The sequence below is a fragment of the Homo sapiens genome, chromosome 12 (assembly GCF_000001405.40).
Source record: "Homo sapiens chromosome 12, GRCh38.p14 Primary Assembly".
NCBI lineage: Eukaryota > Metazoa > Chordata > Mammalia > Primates > Hominidae > Homo > Homo sapiens.
The window spans coordinates 120,314,026-120,339,841 of record NC_000012.12 but is presented as its reverse complement, the minus strand read 5'-3'; the positions used below and the strand labels follow the sequence as shown (position 1 = coordinate 120,339,841).

Genomic DNA, 25,816 nt, shown 5'->3' with positions numbered 1-25,816 from the left:
GCACCACTGTACTCCAGCCTGGGTGACAGAGCAAGACCCTGTCTCAAAAAAAAAAAGAATTACTTTAACAAGGGCCTGCACAGAATCATCTCGGTGCCGACTTCCCGCCCTCGAAGATAAGGATGTTGCCTTTCCTTCCAGTACAGGTTGGGGGTCTTTCACTCAGGAATTTCATCATCTTCTGCTTTTAAGAAACAGCACAAAGGTGAGAGTGATCATCTTGTTCCTGCTGTTTTTCAAGTGCCTTTAACTTAAATAATCAGAGTGGATATTTTTAAATATTCTCTGCACTTTCTCCCTCCTGCTTTCCTCCTGGGAAGGTCTTTACTTTCCACTTGACCCAGAGCTTAGTGTTGACAATGAGATGCCACTTCACACTCATTGCTGGGATTACAGGCGTGCACCACCGCACCCAGCCCTTCAAACAGATATGTGTACGCCAGTGTTCACAGCAGCAATATTCATGATAGCCAAAAGGTAGAAACAACCCAAAAGTCCATCAATGGATAAATGGATACGTAAAATGTGATCTATCCATACAATGGACTATTTATTCAGCCTTAAAAAGGAAGGAAATTGGGCTGAATGTGGTGGCTCACACCTGTAATCCCCAGCACTTTGGGAGACCAAAGCAGGTGGATTACCTGAGGTCAGGAGTTTGAGACCAGCCTGGCCAACATGGTGAAACCCTGTCTCTACTAAAAATACAAAAATTAGCCAGACGTGGTGGTGGGCACCTGTAATCCCAGCTACTTGGGAGGCTGAGGCAGAAGAATCGCTTGAACCCAGGAGGTGGAGGTTGCAGTGAGCCAAGATAGTGCCACTGTACTCCAGCCTCCACCCTGGGTGACAGAGCAAGACTCTGTCTCAAAAAAAAAAAAAAAAAAAGGAAGGGAATACTGTCATATACTACAACATGGATGAACCTTGAGGACATCAGCTTACATCGTGTTATATGAAATAAGACTGTGGATGAAATACTATATGATTCCACTTATACAAGGTACTGAGATTAGTCAAATTCACAGAAACAAGAAGTAGAATGGTGGTTACCAGAGCCTGGGGCAAGGGAGAAGGAGAGTTGTTTAATGGGTGCAGTTTTGGATTTGCAAGATGAAAAATGTTATCAGTGTGAATATACTGAACACTACTGAACTGCCTATTCAAATATGGTTAAGATGGTAAACTTTATATATTTTTTACCAGAATTAAAAAATACTTAAAGTTTGAAATGCATACAGAAGTGCTTATGAATAAAATGACTTGAGAGCTATGATTTGCTTTAAAATAGCCAATAAAAAAGAAGTATGTGGGTGATATGGTTTGGCTCTGTGTCCCCACCCAAATCTCATCTGGAATTGAAATCCCCAGGGAGGGATCTGGTGGGAGGTGATTGGATTATGGGGGTGGTTCCCCCCATGCTGTTCTCATGATAGTGAGTTCTCACAAGATCCAGTGGTTTAAAAGTAACACTCCCCACTCTGCTCTCTCTCTCCTGCTGCCATGTAAGATGTGCTTTGCTTCCCCTTTGCCTTCTGCCATGATTGTAAGTTTCCTGAGGCTTCCCAGCCATGTGGAACTATCAAACCTCCTTTCTTTATAAATTACCCAGTCTCAGGTAGTATCTTTATAGCAGTGTGAGAACAGACTAATACAGAGAATTGGTACCAGCTCTCATGAGATCCGATGATTATATAAGGGGGAGTTTTCCTACACAAGGTCTCTTCTCTTGTCTTGCCACCATGTGAGACATGCCTTTCAACTTTTGCCATGATTGTGAGGCCTCCCCAGCCAGGTGTAACTATAAATCCATTAAATCTTTTTTTCTTCCCAGTCTCAGGTACGTCTTTATCAGCAGCATGAAAACTGACTAATACATGTGAAAATGCCTGGATGTCCAGGCAGAAGTCAGCTGCAGGGGCAGAGCCCTCATGGGGAACCTCTGCTAGGTGTACTGCTATACAGATAACCTGAAACTTGTAGATGTGACTTTGGAATTGGATAACAGGCAGAGGTCGGAACAGTTTAGGGGGGGCTCAGAAGAAGACAGGAAGATGTGGGAAAGCTTGGAACTTCTTAGAGACTTGTTGAATGGTATTGACCAAAATGTTGATAGTGATATGGATAATGAAGTCCAGGCTGAGATGGTCTCAGATGGAGATGAGGAATTTACTTGGTCCTGGAGCAAAGGTCATTCTTGCTATGCTTTAGCAAAGGGACTGGTGGCATTTTGCTCCTGCCCTAGAGATCTGTGGAACTTTGAACTTGAGAGAGATTATTTAGGTTATCTGGCAGAAGAAAAATTCTAAGCAAAAAAGCATTCAAGAGGTGAGTGGCCTTTTCTGAAAGCATTCTATCATGTGCATTCACAAAGAGATGGTTTGAAATTGGGACTTATGTTTAAAAGGGAAGCAGAGCATAAAGGTTTGGAAAACTTGCAGCCTGACCATGTGGTAGAAAAGAAAAACCCATTTTCTGGGGATTCAAGCCAGCTGCAGAAATTTGCATAAGTAACAAAAAGCCAAATGTGTTAATGGCCAAGACCATGGGGGAAAATGTCTCCAAGGCACATCAGAAATCTTCATGACAGCCCCTACCATCACAGGCACAGAGGCCTAGGACAGAAAAATGGTTTCGTGGGTCAGATCCAGGGCTCCATTGCTCTGTGTAGCCCCCAGACATGGTGCCCTGCATCCCAGCCACTCCAGCTCCAGCTGTGGCTAAAAGGAGCCAAGGTACAGCTCGGGCCATTGCTTCAGAGGGTGCAAGCCACAAGCATTGTCAGCTTCCATGTGGTGATAGGCCTGCAGGTGTGCAGAAGAAAAGAGTTGAGGTTTGGGAACCTCTGTCTAGGTTTTAGAGGATGTATGGTGATATGGTTTGGCTGTGTCCCCACCCAAATCTCATCTTGAATTCCCACGTGTTGTGGGAGGGACCTGGTGTGAGGTAATTGAATAATGGGGGCAGGTCTTTCCTGTGCTGTTCTCATGATAGTGAATAAGTCTCATAAGATCTGATGATTCTATAAGGGGGAGTTTCCCTACACAAGGTCTCTTCTCTTACCTGCCACCATGTGAGACATGCCTTTCACTTTCTGCCATGATTGTGAAGCATCCTCAGCCATGTGGAAGTGTAAGTCCGTTAAATCTTTTTTTCTTCCCAGCCTCAGAAGTGTCTTTATCAGCAGCATGAAAATGGACTAATACATATGAAAATGCCTGGATGTCCAGGCAGAAGTCTGCTGCAGGGGCAGAGCCCTCATGGAAAACCTCTGCTAGGGCAGTGCAGAAGGGAAACGTGGGGTTGGAGCCCCCACACAAAATCCCCACTGGGGCATTGCCTAGTGCAGCTGAGAAGAGGGCCATCATCTTCCAGACCCCAGAAAGGTAGATCCACTGACAGCTCACACCATGTGCCTGGAAAAGCCACAGGTACATAGCCCCTGAAAGCAGCCATGGGGGCTGTACCCTGCAAAGCCACAGGATGGAGCTGCCTTAGGCCTTAGGAACCCACCCCTTACATCAGTGTGTAGGGTCCAGCCCCACAGGGTCAGTGGGTCTCTCCCCATGTGCAGAGACGAGAGAGTGTAGAAATAAAGACACAAGACAAAGAGATAAAAGAAAAGACAGCTGGGCCCGGGGAACCACTACCACCAAGTCACGGAGACCGGTAGTGGCCCTGAATGTCTGGCTGCACTGTTATTTATTGGATACAAAGCAAAAGGGGCAGGGTAAAGAGTGCGAGTCATCTCCAATGATACGTAAGGTCACGTGGGTCACGTGTCCACTGGACAGGGGGCCCTTCCCTGCCTGGCAGCCGAGGCAGAGAGAGAGAGGGAGAGAGAGAGACAGCTTACGCCATTGTTTCTGCTTATTAGAGACTTTTAGTACTTTCACTAATTTGCTACTGCTATCTAGAAGGCAGAGCCAGGTGTACAGGATGGAACATGAAGGCGGACTAGGAGCGTGACCACTGAAGCACAGCATCACAGGGAGACGGTTAGGCCTCCAGATAACCATGGGCGAGCCTGACTAATGTCAGGCCCTCCACAAGAGGTGGAGGAGTAGAGTCTTCTCTAAACTCCCCCAGGGAAAGGGAGACTCCCTTTCCCGGTCTGCTAAGCAGTGGGTGTTTTCCCTTGACACTTATGCTACCACTAGACCACGGTCCACCTGGCAACGGGCGTCTTCACAGACACTGGCGTTACCGCTAGACCAAGGAGCCCTCTGGTGGCCCTGTCCGGGCATAACAGAAGACTCGCACTCTTGTCTTCCGGTCACACCTCACTATGTCCCCTCAGCTCCCATCTCTGCATGGTCTGGTTTTTCCTAAGTTATGATTATAGAGCGAGGATTATTATAATATTGGAATAAAGAGTCATTGCTACCAACTAATGATTATTGATATTCATATATAATCATATCTAAGATCTATATCTAGTATAACTATTCTTGTTTTATATTTTATTATACTGGAACAGCTCATGTCCTCAGTCTCTTGCCTCGGCGCCTGGGTGGCTTGTCGCCCACACAGTGTGCCCTGGATGTGAGACATGCAGTCAAAGGAGATCATTTCAGAGCTTTAAGGTTTAATGACCGCACTGCTGGGTTTCGGACTTGCATGGGGCCTGTGACCCCTTTGTTTTGGCCAATTTCTCTCATTTGGAATGGGAACATTTACCCAATGCCTGTATCTGCGTTGTTTCTTGGAAGTAACCAACTTGTTTCTTATTTTACAGACTCATAGGTGGAGGGACTTACCTTGTCTCAGATGAGACTTTAAACTTGGACTTTTGGGTTATTGCTGGAATGAATTAAGACTTTGGAGGACTGTGGGGAAGGCATGATTGATTTTGAAATGTGAAAAGGACATAAGATTTGGGAGGAGCCAAGGAGGAATGATATGGTTTGGCTCTGTTTTCCCACCAAAATCTCATCTCAAATTGTATTCCCCAAGTGTGGAAGAAAGGACCTGGTGGAAGGTGATTGGATTATGGGGGCGTTTTCCCCCATGGTGTTCTCAAAAAAAAAAAAAAAGAAGAGAAAAAATATATAGTATATTTGAGTTTTAAAGCATAATAACACCCAGTAACCTCTATCCAACCCAATAGTCATTTCAAAAAAAAAAACAAAAAAACAAAAAAACAGTGGTTTAAAACTACATAACTATCAGAATCACCTAGAAAAAAAAATTTTTTTTTTTCGAGATGGAGTTTCACTCTGGTTGCCCAGGCTGGAGTGCAATGATGCGATCTTGGTTCACGGCAACCTCTGCCTCCCGGGTTCAAGCGGTTCTCCTGACTCAGCTTCCCAAGTAGCTGGGATTACAGGCATGCACCACCACACCCGGCTAATTTTTATATTTTTAGTAGAGACGGGGTTTCTCCATGTTGGTCAGGCTGGTCTCAAACTCCCAACCTCGGGTGATCCGCTGGCCTCGGCCTCCCAAAATGCTGGGATTACAGGCGTGAGCCACCATGCCTGGCCTGCTGAAAAAAAATTTAAATAAAAAAGAGCGGCTGGGCACGGTGGCTCATGCCTGTAATCCCAGCACTTTGGGAGGCCAAGGCGGGCAGATCACCTGAGGTCAAACGTTTAAGACCAACCTGGCCAACATGGCGAAACCCCATTTCTACTAAAAATACAAAAAAATTAGCCAAGCGTGATGGCGCATGCCTGTAATCCCAGCTACTTGGGAGGCTGAGGCTGGAGAATCACTTGAACCTGGGAGGCAGGGGTTGCAGTGAGCCGAGATTGCACCACTGCACTCCAGCCTGGGTGACAGAACCAGACATCGTCTCAAAAAAAAAAAAGAGAGAGAGACCACAGATTTCAGATCCTTATACCCAACCTGCACATCTTACATTCCAATAATCTGTATTACCTTTTTTTTTTTTTTTTGAAACAGGGTCTCCCTCTGTTGCCCAGGCTGGAGTAGAGTGATACAATCATAGCACAATGTGGCCTTGAATTCCTGACTCAAGCAATCCTCCTGCCTCAGCTTCCAGAATAGCTGGGATTATAAGCTTGAGCCATCATGCCTGGACTATATCACTCTTTAAGTTTTCCAGGGGAGTCCAGGGATCAGTCAAGTTTGGGAGCCACTGGCTACACTATCCCTTCTCCGGAGAGATGGAGGTAGACAGTGCCATTATAGCAGTTAGGAGGCTGTCAGGAAGATCCTGACACTGAAGATGGTGGCTTTGGGAGTGGAAAAGGTTTAGTTACACCGGTATACTGCCTCATTTTGCTCATTGGCACCTGATGGTGGGCTAGCCTATACAAGGCTCTTAGTATCCTTCCTAGCACAGCCTCACAGCATGTTAATTGCTGCTGTTGTTATCATTGGAGAGAGCAGGAATCAGAGGCAGGTAGACACAGGTTCAAATTTTTTCTCCACTTTCTAGCCATGTGACTTTGAGCAAGTTACTTACACTCTCTGAAACTGCTTCATCATCTATCTATAAGATGGGGAAGATGATGACAACTATCACAGTAATAATAACTATATCAGAAGAGTGTTGTTAGGCTGAAAGACAACATATGTAAAGCACAGTGCTAGCACAGTGCCAAGCGTATAGAAACACTCAGCAGATGGTAGCTGGTAGCTGCTGTTAAGCACTTCCTAGAAACAGGAGCCCTATCCTTTAGAAGCCAAATAGACCTGGCCGGGTGCGGTGGCTCACGCCTGTAATCCCAGCACTTTGGGAGGCCGAGGCGGGCGGATCACCTGAGGTCAGGAGTTCGAGACCAGCCTCAACATGGAGAAACCCCATCTCTACTAAAAATACAAAATTTGCTGGGTGTGGTGGTGCCTTCCTGTAATCCCAGCTACTCAGGAGGCTGAGGCAGGAGAATTGCTTGAACCTGGGAGGCGGAGGTTGCGGTGAGCTGAGATCACGCCATTGTACTCCAGCCTGGGCAACAAGAGCGAAACTCCATCTCAAAAAAAAAAAAAAAAAAAAAAAGAAGCCAAGTAGATGTGGCCTTGCTGAAGCGTGGGTACGCCCTCACCTGAAGGGGCCAAGCAGCTATGCTTAGCTGTTCTTTCCACTGAAGAGTGTGTTTTTCCCAGGCTGGGAGAGGCTGTGCTTCGCACACCTGTGCAGGGATCTGGGGTGGTGGAAGGTCAAGGTACAAAGAGTGTAGGGGCTTGGGGAGCTACCTAGTGCCCTTCCAGGTCCCTTATACTGTCACCTTTGTGGCAGGAGCCACAGAGGTCTGGGCTGTCACAGTGAGCATGTCTCTTTCCAGGGGGAGAGGGTTGTGGCAGCGGCCGGACCCCCTCCCCACCAGGTGCTTTGCCTAAACTCCAGCACGTGGAGTTTGTCCAGATTGTTCTTAGGAAGGCTTTCATGGGCTGGGGAAGGAGGGAAGTCGTAGGTTGGACTGAATCTCTTCCTTCCTCAAGGGACTTTCAGTACTCCCTAGCCTGAGATGGTAGCATGAGAACCAGATCGAACTCATATCTTGGTCCTGATGTGTGACTCTGGGGCAGTCACTTAACCTCTCTCAGCCTCAGCTGTCTTCTCTGTAAAATGAAGTTTGTACTGGACCTACCTCGACCTTTGTGCCAGGTTCTTAGCATATGGGACCTGGGATGGAGTTAGCGCTCAGTTAATAGTAACTCATTAGCCAGGTGCGGTGGCTCATGTCTGTATTCCCAGCACTTTGGGAGACCGAGTTGGGTGGATCACTTGAGAGCAGGAGTTTGAGACCAGCCTGGCCAACATGGCAAAACACTATCTCTAATAAAAATACAAAAATTAGCCAGGTGTGGTGGCACTTGCCTATAGTCCCAGCTACACAGGAGGCTGGGGCAGAAGAATCACTTGAACCTGGGAGGTGGAGGTTGCAGTGAGCCAAGATTGCACCACTGCACTCCAGCCTGGAAAAAAAGGGTAATTAATAACTTTACTTGCAACCATAGCTGCTTCTCCTTCTTTGAGCCACCCCCAATCACCCACTTAGCATCCTTCAGGCCTAAACCTAGGAGCAGTGCCTGGTCCTCTGTCTTGTTATGACCCCAAGGAACCCACATAAGAGGGACTGAACATTTTGCTGGGCAAGGCTTCCCTTTGCTTGGGCAGACTCCACTCATTCTGGGGCTGCAGAGGCAGGACCATTCAGTCAAGCTGATGTGGGATTCTGACCTAACCAAGTCCCCCTCCATTAGTCCTCATAGCCCCCACCTCCCATGGGGCAGCCCTGAGACAGGCTCTGTGACAATCCACAGCAGCCCTGTCCAACAGAACCTTCTGTGATCATGGAAACATTCTGTGGCTGCCAATCTGGCAGCCACTCGCCACATGTGTCTATGAGCCTTGAAATGTGGCCATTGTGACTGAGAAACTGAACTTTTAATGGTATTTCATTTTTATTTTTATTTTTTTTTTATTTATTTTGAGGCAGAGTCTCACTCTGTCACCCGGGCTGGAGTGCAGTGGCACTCGGCTCACTGCAAGCTCCGCCTCCCGGGTTCACGCCATTCTCCTGCCTCAGCCTCGGGAGTACCTGGGACAACAGGCACCCGCCACCACGCCCGGCTAATTTTTTGTATTTTTAGTAGAGATGGGGTTTCACCATGGTCTCGATCTCCTGACCTCAGGTGATCCACCCGCTTCGGCCTCCCGAAGTGCTGGGACTGCAGGCATGAGCCACCACGCCCGGCCCAGAAAAGAGATGATTAAACATAAAGCAGCCATGTGATGAAATGGCACTTTGCCTCTGTGGTCTTCCTCCCCCAAACCCATAACTGTAATCTAATTATGAGAAAAACACAGGACAATTCCAATAGAGAGCCAGGTGCAGTGGTTCACGCCTGTAATCCCAGCACTTTGGGAGGCTGAGGCGGGCAGATCATGAGGTCAAGAAATCAAGACCATCCTGGCCAACATGGTGAAACCCCGTCTCTACTAAAAATACAAAAATTAGCTGGACGCAGTGGTGTGCACCTGTAGTCCCAGCTACTCGGGAGGCTGAGGCAGGAGAATCATTTGAACCCGGGAGGCAGAGGTTGCAGTGAGCTGAGATCGCGCCACTGCACTCCAGCCTGGTGACAGAGTGAGACTCCGTCTCAAAAATAAATAAAAATAAATAAATAAAAATTAGCTGGGCGTGGTGGCACGTGCCTGTAATCCCAGCTACTCAGAGGCTGAGGCACAAGAATCACTTGAACCTGGGAGACAGAGATTGCAGTGAGCCGAGATTGTGCCACTGCACTCCAGCCTGGGCGACAGAGTGAGACTACAACAAACACACACACACACACCCACACACACACACACACAAATTCCAAGAGAGGGTCATCCTGACCAATACTCCTCAAAACTATCAAGGTTGCTGGGCACAGTGGCTCACGCCTGTGATCCCAATGCTTTGGGAGGCTTAGATGGGAGGATCACTTGAGGCCAGGAGTTCAAGACCAGCCTGGGCAACATAGGGAGACGCCGTGTCTCCAAAAATTTTTTTGAGACAGAGTCTCGCTGTGTCGCCCAGGCCGGAGTACAGTGGCGTGATCTCGGCTCACTGCAAACTCTGCCTCCTGGGTTCACGCCATTCTTCTGCCTCAGCCTCCCAAGTTGCTGAGATTACAGGCACCCGCCACCATGCCCAGCTTATTTTTTGTATCTTTAGTAGAGACAAGGTTTCACTGTGTTAGCCAGGATGGTCTCCATCACCTGACCTCGTGATCCGCCTGCCTCGGTCTCCCCAAGTGCTGGGATTACAGGTATGAGCCACCGTGCCTGGCCCAAAAAATTTTTTTAAATTAGCCAGGTGTGGTGACACATGTCTGTAGTCCCCACTAATCGGGAGGCTAAGGTGGGAGGATTGCTTGAGCCCAGGAGGTTGAGGCTGCAGTGAACTATGATCGTGTCACTGCACATCAGTCTGGGAAACAGAGCGACACTTTGTCTCAAAAAAAAAAAACAGATAAATAAATTAAATAACCAGGCCCTCCTTATCCCACAGGGTTGTTGTAGAGGTGACATAGGAACAGAAGAGCACCAAGTTAACCAATTATAAATCTATATAGAGAGAAGCAGATCAGAGGCCAGGCACAGTGGCTCATGCCTATAATCCCAGCATTTTGGGAGGCTGAGGAGTGGATCACCTGAGGTCAAGAGTTTGAGACCAGCCTGACCAACATGGTGAAACCTTGTCTCTACTAAAAATACAAAAATTATCCAGGCATGCTGGCAGGCGCCTGTAATTCCCAGCTACACGAGAGGCTGAGGCAGGAGAATCGCTTGAACCTGGGAGGCGGAGGTTGCAGTAAGCCGAGATCGTGCCATTGCACTCCAGCCTGGGCGACAAGAGCGAAACTCTGTCTCAAAAAAAAAAGAGAGAGAGAGAGAGAAGCAGATTAGCAGTTACCAGGGGCTGAGGGAGTGTGACTGCTAATGGGTACAGGGTTTCCTTCTGGAGTGATAAAAATGTTCTGGAACCCCATAGAGGTGATGGTTGCACAACACTGTGAAGGTACTAAATGCCCCCGAATTGTTTACTTAAACGTGGTTAATGTTATGTGAATTTCAGCTAAACAATGTTATGTAGATATTTGGCCGGGCGCGGTGGCTCACGCCTGTAATCCCAGCATTTTGGGAGGCCGAGGCAGGTGGATCACGAGGTCAGGAGATCGAGACCATCCTGGCTAATGCGGTGAAACCCCATCTCTACTAAAAATACAAAAAAAAAAATTAACCGGGCGTGGTGGTGGGTGCCTGTAGTCCCAGCTACTTGGGAGGCTGAGGCAGGAGAATGGCATGAACCTGGGAGGCAGAGCTTGCAGTGAGCCAAGATCGCGCCATTGCACTCCAGCCTAGGCAACAGAGCAAGACTCCGTCTCAAAAAATATATATAAATAAATAGATATGTGATGTGACAGGTTTTTTTTTGAGATGGAGTTTTGCTCTTGTTCCCTAGGCTGGAGTGCAATGGCGTGATCTCAGCTCACCGCAACCTCCGCCTCCAGGGTTCAAGCCATTCTCCTGCCTCGGCCTCCGGAGTAGCTGGGATTACAGGCATAAGCCACCATGCCTGGCTAATTTTGTGTTTTTAGTAGAGACAGGGTTATTCCATGTTGGTCAGGCTGGTCTCGAACTCTCCACCTCAGGTGATCTGCCAGCCTCAGCCTCCCAAAGTGCTGGGATTACAGGCATGAGCCACCGTGCCTGGCCTCTGATATGACAGTTCTAATGCCCTTTAGTATTCTATAATTCAGACTCAGGCCTTTGGAATCCAAAGCCCAGGTTTTTCTCACAAACCCACACTGCAGAGCGGAGTGGTGGAAAAAAATAAAACCTCTGCCTTGGAATCAGACAGATCTAAACTGGAGCCCTATTTTGTCATTTGCCAACTGTGTGACCTTGGGCAAGTTACCGCAACTCTCTGAACCTGTCTCTTTATCTGCAAGGTGCACGACTGATGGGACTATTCAACCAGACCCAGTGCACAGATTCAGGCACTTGATAAGACATTGAGGCTGCAGGCAGCGATCTTTTTTCTTTCTTTCTTTTTTTTTTTTTTTTTTTGAAATAGGGTCTCACTCTGCTGCAGAGGCTCAATCACTGTTCATTGCAGCCTTGACCTCCCTGGCTCAAGAGATCCTCCCATCTCAGCCTCCTGAGTTGCTGGGATCACAGGTGCAATCCACCACCACACCTGGTTAACATTTTTTTTTTTAGAGATGAGGTCTCTCTATGTTGCCCAGGCTGCACTTCCTTCTTGTCTCCCTTATCCCAGCGTCCGACTGAACTGACGGCTTTGCTTTCCCCAACCAGCCCGTGAAGCTGGGCTGAGTACAAAGTGGTGGGTATGAGGGTCAAGATTGTAAGATCTGAAAACTCCAGAAACCATCCCTTTGGTTAACAGTTGCTAAGGACAAATGCATAACATATTTTCCAGTGATCCCATGCTGGCAAATCGTCAGGGTCATTCCTGCAACAGACAGATTCAAGGCCAGCCCCAAACTCAGCCAAGAGCAAAGCAAACACTCCAGCCTTATCTGGGCAGGGTTGTGTGGAGACTGACTATAAGACTATACCTGAGACTGGTCATCTCAGTTCTTTTCTCACCTTGACTGCAAGATGAAACTCCTTGTGCTAGCTGTGCTGCTCACAGGTAGGCAAGTCTCCCCGGCTCCACCCGCCTTTCTCTCCCAAGTGAGCTAAGATCTCACTCCTCTGGAATGGGGGCCACAGGCCACAGCAAACAGGGATGGCCAGCCCCGCAGTCTCAATTCGAGGTTCCCAGTGGGGCTTAAGGGCTCCTCTATTGGGGTTCCCTCAAGGCTGGCACTTTTTCAACCTGCAAGTCTGAACTCAGATTGCCTGAGCTAAGAAAGCTTGCCTTTATTTTCTTTTTTCCAGACAGGGTCTTGCTCTATCACCCAGGCTGGAGTTCAGTGGCATGATCATAGCTCACCACAGCTTCCAACTCGTGGGCTCAAGTGATCCTCCCACCTTACTCAACTAAGTAGTTAGGCCAATCTCCCATTTATTTTATTTTATTTTAATTTTTATTTTTATTTTACTTTATTTTATTTTTGAGACGGGGCTCACTCTGTCGCCCAGGCTGGAGTGCGGTGGCGTGATCTCAGATCACTACAACCTCCATCTCCTGGGTTCAAATAATTCTCTTGCCTCAGCCTCTCAAGTAGCTGGGACTTGTAGCTCTCAAGTAGCTGGCACACACCACCATGCCCAGCTAATTTTTTGTGTGTTTTTTTTGGTAGAGACAGGTTTTCACCATGTTGGCCAGGCTGGGTGACCTCCCTTTTAGATTCTCCTCATCCTGCTCTATTCTTCCCCTTTCTAATGCAGTATCCAGTTTCCTTACTTATCACATTTATTATTATTCTTATTATTATTGAGACAGAGTCTTGCTTTGTCGCCAAGGCTGGAGTACAGTGGTGCGATCTCGGCTCACTGCAAGCTCCACCTGCTGGGTTCACGCCATTCTCCCGCCTCAGCCTCCCCAGTAGCTGGGACTAAAGGCGCCTGCCACCACGCCCCGCTAATTTTTTTGTATTTTTAATAAAGACGGGGTTTCATCGTGTTAGCCAGGATGGTCTCGATCTCATGACCTTGTGATCCGCCTGCCTCGGCCTCCCAAAGTGCTGGGATTACAGGCATGAGCCACCGTGCCCGGCCTTATCACATTTATTATTTATTGTTTTTCTCTCCCACTAGGTTGTAAGCTCCATGAGGTTAGAGATTATTATTATTATTATTATTATTATTATTATTATTATTATTATTATATCTGTTCACTGCTGTATCTCTAGCTCCTAGGACAGAGCCTGGCACATAGTAAGTGCTCAATAAATATTCACTGGATAAACAGTGCAGATAGTTTAAAACTATCTGACCTAGGGAGGCTGAGGCAGGAGAATGGCGTGAACCCGGGAAGCAGAGTTTGCAGTGAGCTGAAATCGTGTCACTGCACTCCAACCTGGGCAACAGAGCAAGACTCCATCTCAAAAAAAAAAAAAAAACTATCAGGCCTAGCTGGGTGGCACATGCCTGTAATCCTAGCTGAGGCGGTAGGGTCCCAGAAGAAGAAGAAGAAGAAAAAGAAGAAGATATATATATATATACACACACACAAAGATATAAACTTTATATATATAAAGTTTTCATTAAAAAAAAAAAAAAACCTCTACCCACTTTCACTTTACCAGGTTCCTGGGTCCAACGGTCTTCAGAGGAGGCAGCTGGCAGGGGTCAGGGAGGCAGCGTGGGACCCGAGGGAGCAGGAAGGCAGTGTGTCCCCGGGGTGCTGGCAGACCGATTTGAACTCTGGCTATGTCTTCTTGCAGTGGCCGCCGCCGACAGCGGCATCAGCCCTCGGGCCGTGTGGCAGTTCCGCAAAATGATCAAGTGCGTGATCCCGGGGAGTGACCCCTTCTTGGAATACAACAACTACGGCTGCTACTGTGGCTTGGGGGGCTCAGGCACCCCCGTGGATGAACTGGACAAGTAAGTGATCCGCCTGCAGGAAAATTGGAGTGCCTGCCGGGGGCGGGGTGGGGCACACGCCAAGGATCTCACGAGGCATACAAAGGGGACTTGCATATCTGCTAAGGATAACATATTTTCACCTCTTGTCAAATAAACAAATATGTTCCAAGAGGACCCTGTAGCGAACGCACCCCGTTAGAGATGGAAACAATGACCGACGTGCAAAACAGTGGGCGATGCTGCCCTCCAGTGGCAGAATGTAGCAACAGTAAACATCACAGCAACTATCCACGTGTCATTTTCTAGCAGTGGTTGTCACTGCACCTTCTGAATACAGGATTTTACTGTATTCTTGCAACCATGTTAAAAATCGCTTTCAGGCCAGGCGCGGTGGCTCATGCCTGTAATCCCAGCACTTTGGGAGGCCGAGGCGGGCGGATCACTTGAGGTCAGGAGTTCGAGACCAGCCTGGCCAACATGGTGAAACCCTGTCTCTACTAAAAAATACAAAAATTAGCCGGACATGGTGGCGAGCGCCTGTAACCCCAGCTACTTGGGAGACTGAGTTGGAGGTTTCAGTGAGCCAAGGTCGTGTCACTGCTGTCCAGCCTGGGTAACAGAGCAACTCTGTCTCAAAAAAAAAAAATGCTTTCAATAAATATATGATAAAAGGACTTATATTTTTTCAAGCCATAGGATCATTTCTCCTGAAGCATCTTGGCGAAGTCATCCCCACCTGTTCCTGAGAGTGGGCAGGTGAGGGCTGACCTATTGCTCTGCACTTACTCCTATCTCAGCTGTCCCTCCCACTTTCCAGGTGCTGCCAGACACATGACAACTGCTATGACCAGGCCAAGAAGCTGGACAGCTGTAAATTTCTGCTGGACAACCCGTACACCCACACCTATTCATACTCGTGCTCTGGCTCGGCAATCACCTGTAGCAGTAGGTTTATCCCTTCCTTGACCTATGAATTCTAGTTGGTTCTCAGTAGGCCGGGGGGAAATAATAGTAACAACAGCCATGATTTAGTGTTAATTTTCTTGGTTCTGGGCAGTGTCTCCTTTAATCCTCAGAACAACACTATGGGATAGGTACAATTATCCTCACTTAACAGATAAGAAAACTGAGGCTCAGAAGGCTGAGCTATTTGCCCAAGATCACACAGCTTGTAAGTGGTGACAGTTTGGGTTTTTTTTTGTTGTTGTTTAGAGACAGGGTCTTGCTCTGTCACCCAGGCATGAGCACAGTGGTGCAACCATAGGTCACTGCAGCCTCAACCTCCTGAGCTCAAGGGATCTGCTGACCTCAGCCTCCCAAGTAGCTGGGACTACGAGCGTGCACCACCACGCCTGGCTAATTAAAAAAATTTTTTTGTAGAGACTGGGTCTTACTACGTTGGCCAGGCTTGTCTTAAACTCCTGGCTTCAAGCAATCCTCCTACCTTGGCATCCCAAAGTGCTGGGATTACAGGGGTGAGCCACCATGTGCGGCTACTTATTTCTTTACATTCCATCTTTCCAATAGAATGTAAGATCCACAGAACAGGGATTACTGCCTATTTTCTTCCTTTCTTTTTTGAGACAGAGTCTCACTTCATCACCTCAACCTCCGTTCAGCTCACTGCAACCTCTGCCTCCCGGGTTCAAGCGATTCTCCTGCCTAAGCCTCCTGAGTAGCTGGAATTACAAGCGTGCACCACCATGCTTGGCTAATTTTTTGTATTTTTAGCAGAGATGGGGTTTTACCATGTTGCCCAGGCTGGTCTCAAACTCCTGACCTCAAGTGATCTGCCTGCCTCAGTCTCCCAAAGTGCTGGAATTATAGGCGTGAGTCACTGTGCCTGGCCGATTACTGTCTATTTTCTTTATTGCTATATCCCCAGATCTAGAGCAGTGTCTGACATATAGTAGGTGCTCAATAAATAATTGATGAATGCACAGCCTAGATATAAACTTTCTTTTTCTTTTTTTAAAACAATCTTGACAACTTTGCAGAATAAATACAATCTTGCATTCTGCTTTTTCACTTATCACCTTGTTATGACTTTTTCATATTGCCTCAAACCTTTATTGTTACTGTTTTTTCATTGTTACTATTTTAGTCACTGAATAATATGGCTTAATTTGCTTATACATCCTCCTGCTCCACTTTAGAAGGCCAAATTTACAAATCTGATGAAAGCTATGAACCCTCTCCCCAGAGAAATACACACACACACACACACTCACACACAGTTTTTTTTTAATGTTTGCAACTAAGACAAGAAACCTGCATTAGAGGATGTTTGTTCATATTAATTAAAAATAACTCAGTTGGGCACAGTGACTCAAGCCTGTAACCACAGTACTTTGGAAGTCCAAGGTGGGTGGATCACTTGAGGTGAGAAGTTCGAGACCAGCCTGGTCAATATGGTGAAACCCTATCTCTACTAAAAATACAAAAATTAGCTGGGTGTAGTGATGCATGCCTGTAGTCCCAGCTACTCGGGAGGCTGAGGCAAGAGAATTGCTTGAACCTGGGAGGCAGAGGTTGCAGTGAGCCGAGATCCCACCACTGCACTCCAGCCTGGGCGACACAGCGAGACTCTATCTCAAAAAAATAAATAAATAAAATAAAGGATCGGAGAGAAACAAAACTAATAAGATTCCTGAAGGTAAGCAGAGATACGTAAATTATATGTAATAAAGTTTAAATGCATTTTAACTGTAATCTTATTGTTTATTTTGGTTATAAAAGTAAACAAGCCAAAAGTAATGCAACTTCAAACTCTACATAAATATCTATTATGGAAAGTGGAAGGCATCTATAATCCTACTACCCAAAGATAACCAGTTACATATTCCTCCAGATTTTTGGGGCATACACTAGCTTTTTTTATTTGGGAAAATTTCCATGTGCAGGCATACCTAATTTTTCTAAATGTCTATGTAGTATTCCATTTAAGGATGTTCCATAATTTTTAAAATACATGCTTTAAAGTAGAGAAACTAGGTTGGGCATGGTGGCTCACGCCTGTATCCCAGCACTTTGGGAGGCCGAGGCAAATGGATCACTTGAGGTCCGGAGTTTGAGACCAGCCTGGACAACATGATGAAACACCCTCTCTAATAAAAATACAAAAATTAGCTGGGCATGGTGGCGAGCACCTGTAGTCCCAGCTACTCAGGAGTCTGAGGCAGGAGTATCACTTGAACTCAGGAGGCAGAAGTTGCAGTGAGCTGAGATCACGCCACTGCACTCCAGCCTAGGCGACAAAAGGGAAACTCCGTCTTAAAAACAAAACAAAACAAAAAAACACAGGATGCCCAGATAAATATGACTTTCAGATAAGCAATGGATAATTTTTTGGGGGGTATATGTCCCAAATATTGCATTCATTGTTTATCTGAAAGTCAAATTTAACTGGGCATCCTGATGTACTTGTATTCACTTAATCTGTCAGCCCTAAATGTGCATCAGTGGAATGGCTGCCAGCTTATTCCAGTTAATTCTTCTTGCCCCAGATTGTACAAAACAGGGTCCACCTTGGCTCAGTCCTCTCCTTTCATCCCTCTCCAGGCAAAAACAAAGAGTGTGAGGCCTTCATTTGCAACTGCGACCGCAACGCTGCCATCTGCTTTTCAAAAGCTCCATATAACAAGGCACACAAGAACCTGGACACCAAGAAGTATTGTCAGAGTTGAATATCACCTCTCAAAAGCATCACCTCTATCTGCCTCATCTCACACTGTACTCTCCAATAAAGCACCTTGTTGAAAGACCTCATGTTTGGATATTGTTTTATTCTCTGTCTATAAACTAGGTCTCTGCCTACTCTTTTATTTTTATGTATTTATTTTTTCTAGGTGGAGTCTTGCTCTGTGGCCCAGGCTGGAGTGCAGTGATGCCACCTTGCCTCACTGCAACCTCCGCCTCCCGGGCTCAAGCAATCCTCCCGCCTCATCCTCCCGAGTAGCTGGGACCATAGGCATGCACCACCATGCCTGGCTAATTTTTGTATTTTTTGTAGAGACAGAGTTTCGCCATGTTGCCCTGGCTGGTCTCAAACTCCTCAGCTTAAGTGATCTGCCTGGCTCGGCCTCGCAAAGTGTTGGGATTACATGCATGAGCCGCCGCGCCTGGCTACTCTGCCTAGTCTTTTGTGAGTATCATTTCTTCCAGCCTTGGAAGCTAAGTTGAATTAGAAAGACACTTCCAGGAAGCAAGCAAGCACCTTGAAACCTGAGTAATGATTAACGATCACCATCTACTGATTATTTACTCTGTACCAGGACTGTGTGTCCATAAATCCTCTTGACAGCCCTGTGAGGTATTGGCGCTATTAGCAAATCTTATTTTCCTAAGCTGAGGCTCAATAGGAGAGGTCACTTTTCCAATGCTATCATCTAGTAAGCAGCAGAGAAGGAATTTGAACTCGGCAAGTCTAACAACAGAAAACACATGCTGAACCACTGCCCTTCCCTGCCTGAAGTGGTAGGCTTTAGTTTGAGCCAGACCTTGCCCCCGTCTCATGATTCTGCCTCCATTTTCAACTGTATTAAACCATTTTTCTACAATGACTTTCTTTTTTTTTTTTTTTTTTGAGATGGAGTCTCGCTCTGTCGCCCAGGCTGGAGTGCAGTGCTGCAATCTCGGCTCACTGCAAGCTCTGCCTCCCAGGTTCACGCCATTCTCCTGCCTCAGCTTCCCGAGTAGCTGGGTTTACAGGCTCCTGCCACCACGCCCAGCTAATTTTTTGTATTTTCAGTAGAGACGGGGTTTCACCGTGTTAGCCAGGATGGTCTCGATCTCCTGACCTCGTGATCCGCCCGCCTCGGCCTCCCAAAGTGCTGGGATTACAGGCGTGAGCCACCGCACACGGCCACGACTTTCTTTTCTAAATAAAAGACTTCACCACACTCTACAGGCTAATTTTGACACTGTAGTCATGAAATATAATAAACATTAACAAGCCGAGCATGGCGGCACGCGCCTATGATCGTAGCTACTCAAGAGGCTGAGGCAGGAGGATCTCTTGATCCCGGGAGTTTGAGGCTGCAGTGAGCTATGATCACACCACTGCACTCCAGCCTGGGTGAAAGAGTGAGACCCTGTTTCAAGCTACTAGGGAGGCTGAAGTGGAAGGATCCCCTGAGCCCAGGAGTTGGAGGCTGCAGTGAGCTGTGATCACGCCACTGCACTCCAGCCTGAGTGACAGAGAGAGACACTATCTCAAACAAACACACACACAAAACACAAACAAAACAAAACAAAACAAAACAAAACAAAACAAAAAACCAATAACAGCTTGCATTTCTGGAGCACTTACTGCATACTTCCTTGTTCGGAGTTTTCCACATCTCATCTCATTAAATGTTCAAACCAGCTCTGTGATATTGATATTTTTGCTCCCATTTCATGGATGTGGAACTAAAAATTCAGAGAAGTTAAGTCATTTGTCCAAGATCACACAAATGGCAAAATCAGGATTTGGCCAGGTCTGTCTGGTGGCAGTGCCCAAGCTTTTAACCACTAAGTCACTTCAGCCCAATTCCTCTATGAGTATTTATGACTACATTTACATTGAAATTCACCAGAACTAAGCCAGGGACAGTGGCTCACGCCTGTAATCCCAGGACTTTGAGAAGTCTAGGTGGGCAGATCACTTGAGGCCAGGAGTTTGAGACCAGCCTGGCCAACATGGCAAAACCCTGTCTCTACTAAAAAATACAAAAATTAGCCGAGTATGGTGGCATAGGCCTGTAATCCCAACTACTCAGGAGGCTGACGCAGGAGAATGGCTTAAACCAGGGAGGCTGAGGTTGTAGTGAGCTGAGATCACACCACTGCACTCCAGCGTGGGTGACAGAGTGATACTCGGCCAAAGAAAGAAAAAAAAAAAAGAAATTCACCAGAGCAAGTGGGGAGAGGCAGAGAAGGGAACTGAAGCAGAAAAGCAAAGTTGAGGCCAGGCATGGTGGCTCACGCCTGTAATCCCAGTACTTTGGGAAGCCGAAGAGGGCAGATCACCTCAGGTCAGGAGTTCGAGACCAGCCTGGCCAACATGGCAAAACCTCATCTCTACTAAAAAATACAAAATTTAGCTGGGCATGGTAGCGTGCACCTGTAATCCCAGCTACTCAGGAGGCTGAGACAGAAGAATCACTTGAACCTGGGAGGAAGAGGTTGCAGTGAGCCAAGATAACACCACTGCACTCCAGCCTGGGTGACACAGTGAGACTCTGTCCACTATCAAAAGGCACCATTAAGCAGTTTCAGACCACTGGAAACTGACAGAACAGCCACCATTTCTGGGTATGTGGTGGGCAATAGAAGACCTTCCATTTGAAGAAGGGAGTGTGTGTGGACTTATCTTTTGGCATAATTTCTCCCTCATTTATTTATTTATTTATAATTTTTTTTTTGAGACAGATTCTCACTCTGTCACCAGGCTGGAGTGTAGTGGCGCAATCTCGGCTCACTGTAACCTCTGCCTCCCGGGTTCAAGAGATTCCCCTGCCTCAGCCTCCTGAGTAGCTGGGACTATAGGCACGCACCACCACGCCCAGCTAATTTTTTGTATTTTAGAGACAGGGTTTCACTATGTTGGCCAGGATGTTCTCGATCTCCTGACCTCGTGATCTGCCCGACTTGGCCTCCCAAAGTGCTGGGATTACAGGCGTGAGCCACCACGCCCGGTCCCTCATTTTATTCATCCATTCAATGATTATTTATTGAACACTTACTCTGGGCCAGGCACCACACAAAATGCTGAGGATACAATGTATTCGGGGCTGGCCACAAGACAATGATTTAGTGTTAGTATCTGTCTACAATTCAGTCTGCTCTGAGACTTTCTTCCCTACTCTTCAAACTGGCATCCTTGTATATATTATGCTGTATGCTCCAGACGGTGTCATGTCTTTTGCACAATTATCTTGTCATCCTTGAAGTTCTATAGTTGTAGGTACTGTTATATCCACATCTGATGGATGAGGAAACTGGCTTAAAGATGCAATGGATTGCCAAAAGTCACTAATTCCTGGGTGGCATAGCTGACCTTGGAACCCAAATCCAGATAATTCAGAGAAGTGCTATCTTTTTAATTCTTTTTAATTAAAATTAATTCTTTTTAAGTCTTTTTAATTCTTTGGCAGGCAAGAATGGGACTATTCTCAAATTCAAATTCAACAAGCATAAACCGAAGAACCCTTCTTTGCATATTGTGCTATGAAGAATTTCAAGGGATGCAAAATCAAGTTAGACCTGGCCTTAATCTTCAACGAACTGTGAAGGCCATAAAAAATATTTCTTCAGTGGAAAGAAATTGCAAGTCCCTGTTGGATGGAAGAAAAGTGGGCTTTTAGGAAAATGGTGCTTACTTCTTCTTATTTATTTATTTATTTATTTAGATGACAGAACAAACGAGAGAGAGAGAGCAGTCACAGGGCTACTAAAGGCTCTAAAGATATCCTCTGATGTAAAAATCTCTCTTGGGCCGGGCGTGGTAGCTCAGGCCTGTAAATCCCAGCACTTTGAGAAGCTGAGGCTTGCTTGAGTCCAGCCTGGACAACACGGTGAAATCCCGTCTCTACAAAAAATCAGCAAGGTGTTGCATGGCTGTAGTCCCAGCTACTCGGGAGGCTGAGATGGGAGTATCACCTGAGCCCAGAAGGTTGAGGCTGCAGTGAGACTGCACTCTGGCCTGGGTGATAGAATGAGACCCTGTCTCAAAAAAAAAAAAAAAAGAAAAAAGAAAACAAAAAACCAACAACAAAATAACCTACCTCTTTTTCATTATCAAGGCTTGGGAAAGAGAGAATAAATTCCCTTAATTATCTTTAAATGAGCATTTGTATGAAAGTAGGATACGGAAAACTAGTTGAATGTCTAGGATGATTTGAATGAAGAAACAAGGAAATAAGCTGGACAGAGTAATTTGATGGAGAGATTACAATTTCTAGCAACCGCATTGTCTTCACATTGTCTAGCGCATCACATAAGTTCATTAAATAATTGTTCAGAGACGGTAGTGTGACGTAATGTTTCGCCGAAGCCAAGGAGAAAAAGCCACGTGGCCTTATTTACCTTTTCGTGTCACGTGATGCTGTGTGCCCAACCCGATCAACCTCTAGTCCACGCCCCCCAATCCGCCGCCACAGGATGTGATTGTGATTGGATATCTTATGAGCACGTGGCTCTCGATCTCTCTTTTCTATTGGTGAATGGCGGCCCAGCCGTCGGTCTACTTCTGCCCCTTCCCGGCCCAGGCCCCGCCCCTCTGGCGCGCACAGAAAACCCGAGTCTGCGCAGGCGCAGTGGCTGGTAATGGTCACACTAGGTGGCGTCCGCGTGAGGTGGAGGTGTCAGCGGCTCCTGTCTGCAGCTTCCTGGGGTCCTGGCGGCGCTCTTCTCCTGAGCCAGAATCCAGCAGGAAGGACAGAATGGGCGCTAGAGTGTGAAAAGAGGGCGAACTCACGTGGATGTGACTCTCCGGGTCGCTCTTCCCTGTCACCCAGCTCCTCCTGCCGGTTTCCTGTGGGCATCGCCTGCATTGCTTTTATCCCGGGGACGGATTAGGGGGTAGGGAAAGTGGGGTGCAGGGAACAAAGGGGAGCTGAGAGGAGAGGTGGCCAAGCAGAGAGGCAAGGGGATGTTGGGCGAGCCACAGGCCTCTGAGGCGCCCCAAATCTACACTTAAATTTCCACCCCCACATTGAAGGGAAAAAAAAAACCGAAGAGATTTGGTGGTGTAACAGCCATGCTTTTTGCATGAGTGGTTTCCTCCCTTTTCCTACCTCGTGAAGGCATGTTCATCTTTCAGAACCCAGCCTGGGTCACTTCTGGAAGTTTCTTGAGCTTTGTCCTTCTTCCGCAGGTACAGCTGCTGTTACCCCACCGGGTTTCTACAGCAGAAAGTCCGAGAGCGAACTCAGAACTGGACAGACTGGCCTTCATTCCTGGCCTAGTCACCCTCTTGGTGACCTTGGGCAGGTTACCCGAAATAATAGTGCTCTTATCATAGGGTTGTGGGAATTAAGTGTCCAAATATGTTGTGTAAATGCTTCCTAAGTGCTTGTTGTATAGTAAATGTTCGATAAATACTGTTTTCCTAAGGGGAAGGAGAGGAAAGGATAATGCACTTTAATTTTTCTTGAGAAAGTCTTTATTACATTAAGCAAGCCTTGATTTGTAATCTTTTTCTATTTTTTTACTTTTTATTACTATTATTTTTATTTTATTTTATTTTTTGAGACGGAGTTTTGCTCTTGTTGCCCAGGCTGGAGTGCAATGATGCTATCTCAGCTCACTGCAACCTCCGCCTCCCAGGTTCAAGCGATTCTCCTGCCTCGGCCTCCCAAGTAGCTGGGATTACAGGCGCCGGCTACCATGCCCAGCTAATTCTGTATTTTTAGTAGAGGCAGGGTTTCACCATGTTGGTCAGGCTGGCTGGTTTCGAACTCCTGACTTCGGGTGATCCACCCGCCTCAGCCCTCCAAAGTGCTGGGATTACAGACTCACATAAGCCACCGTGCCGGGCCTATTATTATTATTTTATGTATATATATGTGTCTATATAATTTTTTTTTTGAGACGGAGTCTTGCTCTATCGCCCGGGCCAGAGTGCAGTGGCATGACCTTGGCTCACTGCAGCCTCTGCCTCCTCTGCTCAAGCGATTCTTCAGCCTCAGCCTCCCGAGTAGCTGGGGTTACAGGCACTGGCCACTACGCCCGGCTAATTTTTGTATTTTCAGTAGAGACAGTTTTCACCATGTTGGCCAGGCTAGTCTGGAACTCCTGACCTCAGGTGATCTGCCCACCTCGGCCTCCCACCGAGCCTCATTTGCAATCTTTTTTAAAAAAGACAAACAGGTACACTTTGGGAGGCTGAGGCGGGTGGATCACGAGGTCAGGAGATCAAGACCATCCTGGCTAACACAGCGAAACCCCGTCTCTATTAAAAATACAAAAAAGTTAGCTGGGCGTGGTGGCTGGCGCCCGTAGTCCCATGAACCCAGGAGGCAGAGCTTGCAGTGAGCCAAGATTGCGCCACTGCACTCCAGCCTGGGCAAAAGAGAAAGAGCGAGACTCCGTCTCAAAAATATATATATATATAATTAAATATATAAACATACAATCCACATACCTAGTGTGGTTTTTTTGTTTTGTTTTGTTTTGTTTTTGAGACAGAGTCTTTCTCTTTCACCCAGGCCGTTCAGTGGCACAATCTCGGCTCACTGCAACCTCCGCCTCCCTGGTTCAAGCGATTCTCCTGCGTCAGCCTCCTGAGTAGCTGGGACTACAAGCACATCCCACCATGCCTGGCTAATTTTTGTATTTTTAGTAGAGACGGGGTTTCATCATGTTGGCCAGGATGGTCTCCATCTCCTGACCTTGTGATCCACCCGCCTATGCCTCCCAAAGTGCAGGGATTACAGGCGTGAGCCGCTGTGCCTGGCCCTGGTGTGCTATTTTTATTTTTTATTTTTTATTTTTATTTTTTTTGAGACGGAGTCTTGCTCTGTCGCCCAAGCTGGAGTGCAGTGGCGCGATGTCAGCTCACTGCAAGCTCCGCCTCCCGGGTTCACACCGTTCTCCTGCCTCAGCCTCCCAAGTAGCTGGAACGATAGGCGCCTGCCACGACGCCTGGCTAATTTTGTTTGTTTGTTTGTTTTTTGAGTCTCGCTCTGTCGCCCAAGCTGGAGTGCAGTGGCAAGATCTCGGCTCACTGCAAGCTCCGCCTCCCAGGTTCACGCCATTCTCCTGCCTCAGTCTCCCCAGTAGCTGGGACTACAGGCACCCGCCACCACGCCCAGCTAATTTTTTTGTATTTTTAGTAGGGAAGGGGTTTCATCGTGTTAGCCAGGATGGTCTCGATCTCCTGACCTCGTGATCTGCCTGTCTTGGCCTCCCAAAGTGCTGGGATTACAGAAGTGAGCCACTGTGCCTGGCCCATTTTTTTGTATTTTTAATAAAAACGGGGTTTCACCGTGTTAGCCAGGATGGTCTCGATCTCATGACCTCGTGATCCGCCCGCTTTGGCCTCCCAAAGTGCTGAGATTACAGGCTTGAGCCACCACGCCCAGCTGCTGTGCTATTTTTGAAAGATTCCTTTATCTCTTGGTTATAAAAAATTAATTCATGGCCATTGCTTATTTTTTCAAAAATTATATCAAAATGGTTCAGTTAAAGACACTTAACCATTTGGATTATAAATTTAGTCATTTCCTTCTACCCTTACCCCACAAAATTAGTGAGATCCTTGGGTTGGCGCTCCAGAGACCACTCTGGCCTACATATGTCCCAGGCCATTTCTCCTGCCAGGTGAGATAAAAAGGAAATGAATGCAGCTGCTTCTTTGAAAAAGTCTTTGTTCTGGGGCAAATCTCCTCAGCCTAGACCTTAACTCTTTGGCTGGGAAAGCTGCCGGGTTGAGAAATGGGCTGGCAGAGAGGTGTTGATTTGTTGCCCCCTACAGGCTGCACTCAGCGAGCTTTGATTAGTTTGAGAAAAAACGGATGCTCCTTAGGGATCTGTAAAGAAATGAAACAAGTGAATGCAAAGATAAACGAAGAGCAGGGTCCAGGGAATGCTTGTGAACATCAGCCTATCAGTCACAATACCATAGCACTTAGGACATGGAAAGATGACCACTGGCCGGGCTTGGTGGCTCATGCCTGTAATCCCAGCACTTTTGGAGGCTAAGGCAGGTGGATCACTTGAGGCCAGGAGTTCAAGACCAGCCTGGCCAACATGGTGAACTGAAAATACAAAAATTAGCCGGGCATGGTGGTGGGCACCTGTAGTCCCAGCTACTCGGGAGGCTGAGCCAGGAGAATTGCTTGAATCTGGGAGGCAGAGGTTGCAGTG

The 25,816-nt window shown here is 47.0% G+C and overlaps 2 protein-coding genes across 2 annotated transcripts in view, besides 6 other annotated features; both read left to right on the top strand.

The window, feature by feature from the left end:
• The window catches only part of MSI1 (musashi RNA binding protein 1), a 29,503-nt gene extending 29,323 nt beyond the window's left edge, over positions 1-180 (top strand). The window contains exon 15 of the mRNA XM_011538361.4: positions 142-180. The gene's annotated coding sequence lies outside the window, so the exon portion shown is untranslated. The remainder of the gene's footprint in view (positions 1-141) is intronic.
• Positions 3,966-4,035: an enhancer, noted in NCBI's record as "active region_7141". NCBI's record gives its function as "activates an Ori minimal core promoter by ATAC-STARR-seq in GM12878 lymphoblastoid cells {active_cell/tissue: GM12878}" and the evidence as "EXISTENCE:reporter gene assay evidence [ECO:0000049][PMID:35858748]".
• Positions 12,063-17,727, top strand: PLA2G1B (phospholipase A2 group IB). The gene is made up of 4 exons (NM_000928.3): positions 12,063-12,122; positions 13,822-13,981; positions 14,781-14,908; positions 17,525-17,727. Exons 1-4 carry the CDS (start codon positions 12,089-12,091, stop codon positions 17,647-17,649), a joined length of 447 nt encoding a protein of 148 aa, NP_000919.1. The 5' UTR covers positions 12,063-12,088; the 3' UTR covers positions 17,650-17,727.
• Positions 14,107-14,166: an enhancer, noted in NCBI's record as "active region_7140". NCBI's record gives its function as "activates an Ori minimal core promoter by ATAC-STARR-seq in GM12878 lymphoblastoid cells {active_cell/tissue: GM12878}" and the evidence as "EXISTENCE:reporter gene assay evidence [ECO:0000049][PMID:35858748]".
• Positions 22,226-22,575: an enhancer, noted in NCBI's record as "active region_7139". NCBI's record gives its function as "activates an Ori minimal core promoter by ATAC-STARR-seq in GM12878 lymphoblastoid cells {active_cell/tissue: GM12878}" and the evidence as "EXISTENCE:reporter gene assay evidence [ECO:0000049][PMID:35858748]".
• Positions 22,616-22,665: an enhancer, noted in NCBI's record as "active region_7138". NCBI's record gives its function as "activates an Ori minimal core promoter by ATAC-STARR-seq in GM12878 lymphoblastoid cells {active_cell/tissue: GM12878}" and the evidence as "EXISTENCE:reporter gene assay evidence [ECO:0000049][PMID:35858748]".
• Positions 23,507-24,282: an enhancer, noted in NCBI's record as "H3K4me1 hESC enhancer chr12:120753363-120754138 (GRCh37/hg19 assembly coordinates)". NCBI's record gives its function as "activates a minimal SCP1, AML or CMV promoter by ChIP-STARR-seq in naive H9 embryonic stem cells {active_cell/tissue: H9 hESC(naive)}" and the evidence as "EXISTENCE:reporter gene assay evidence [ECO:0000049][PMID:30033119]".
• Positions 25,297-25,480: a silencer, noted in NCBI's record as "fragment chr12:120752165-120752348 (GRCh37/hg19 assembly coordinates)". NCBI's record gives its function as "represses an EF-1alpha promoter that drives an FKBP-Casp9 reporter gene in an ReSE screen in phorbol 12-myristate 13-acetate-treated (for megakaryocytic differentiation) K562 erythroleukemia cells {active_cell/tissue: K562(+PMA)}" and the evidence as "EXISTENCE:reporter gene assay evidence [ECO:0000049][PMID:32094911]".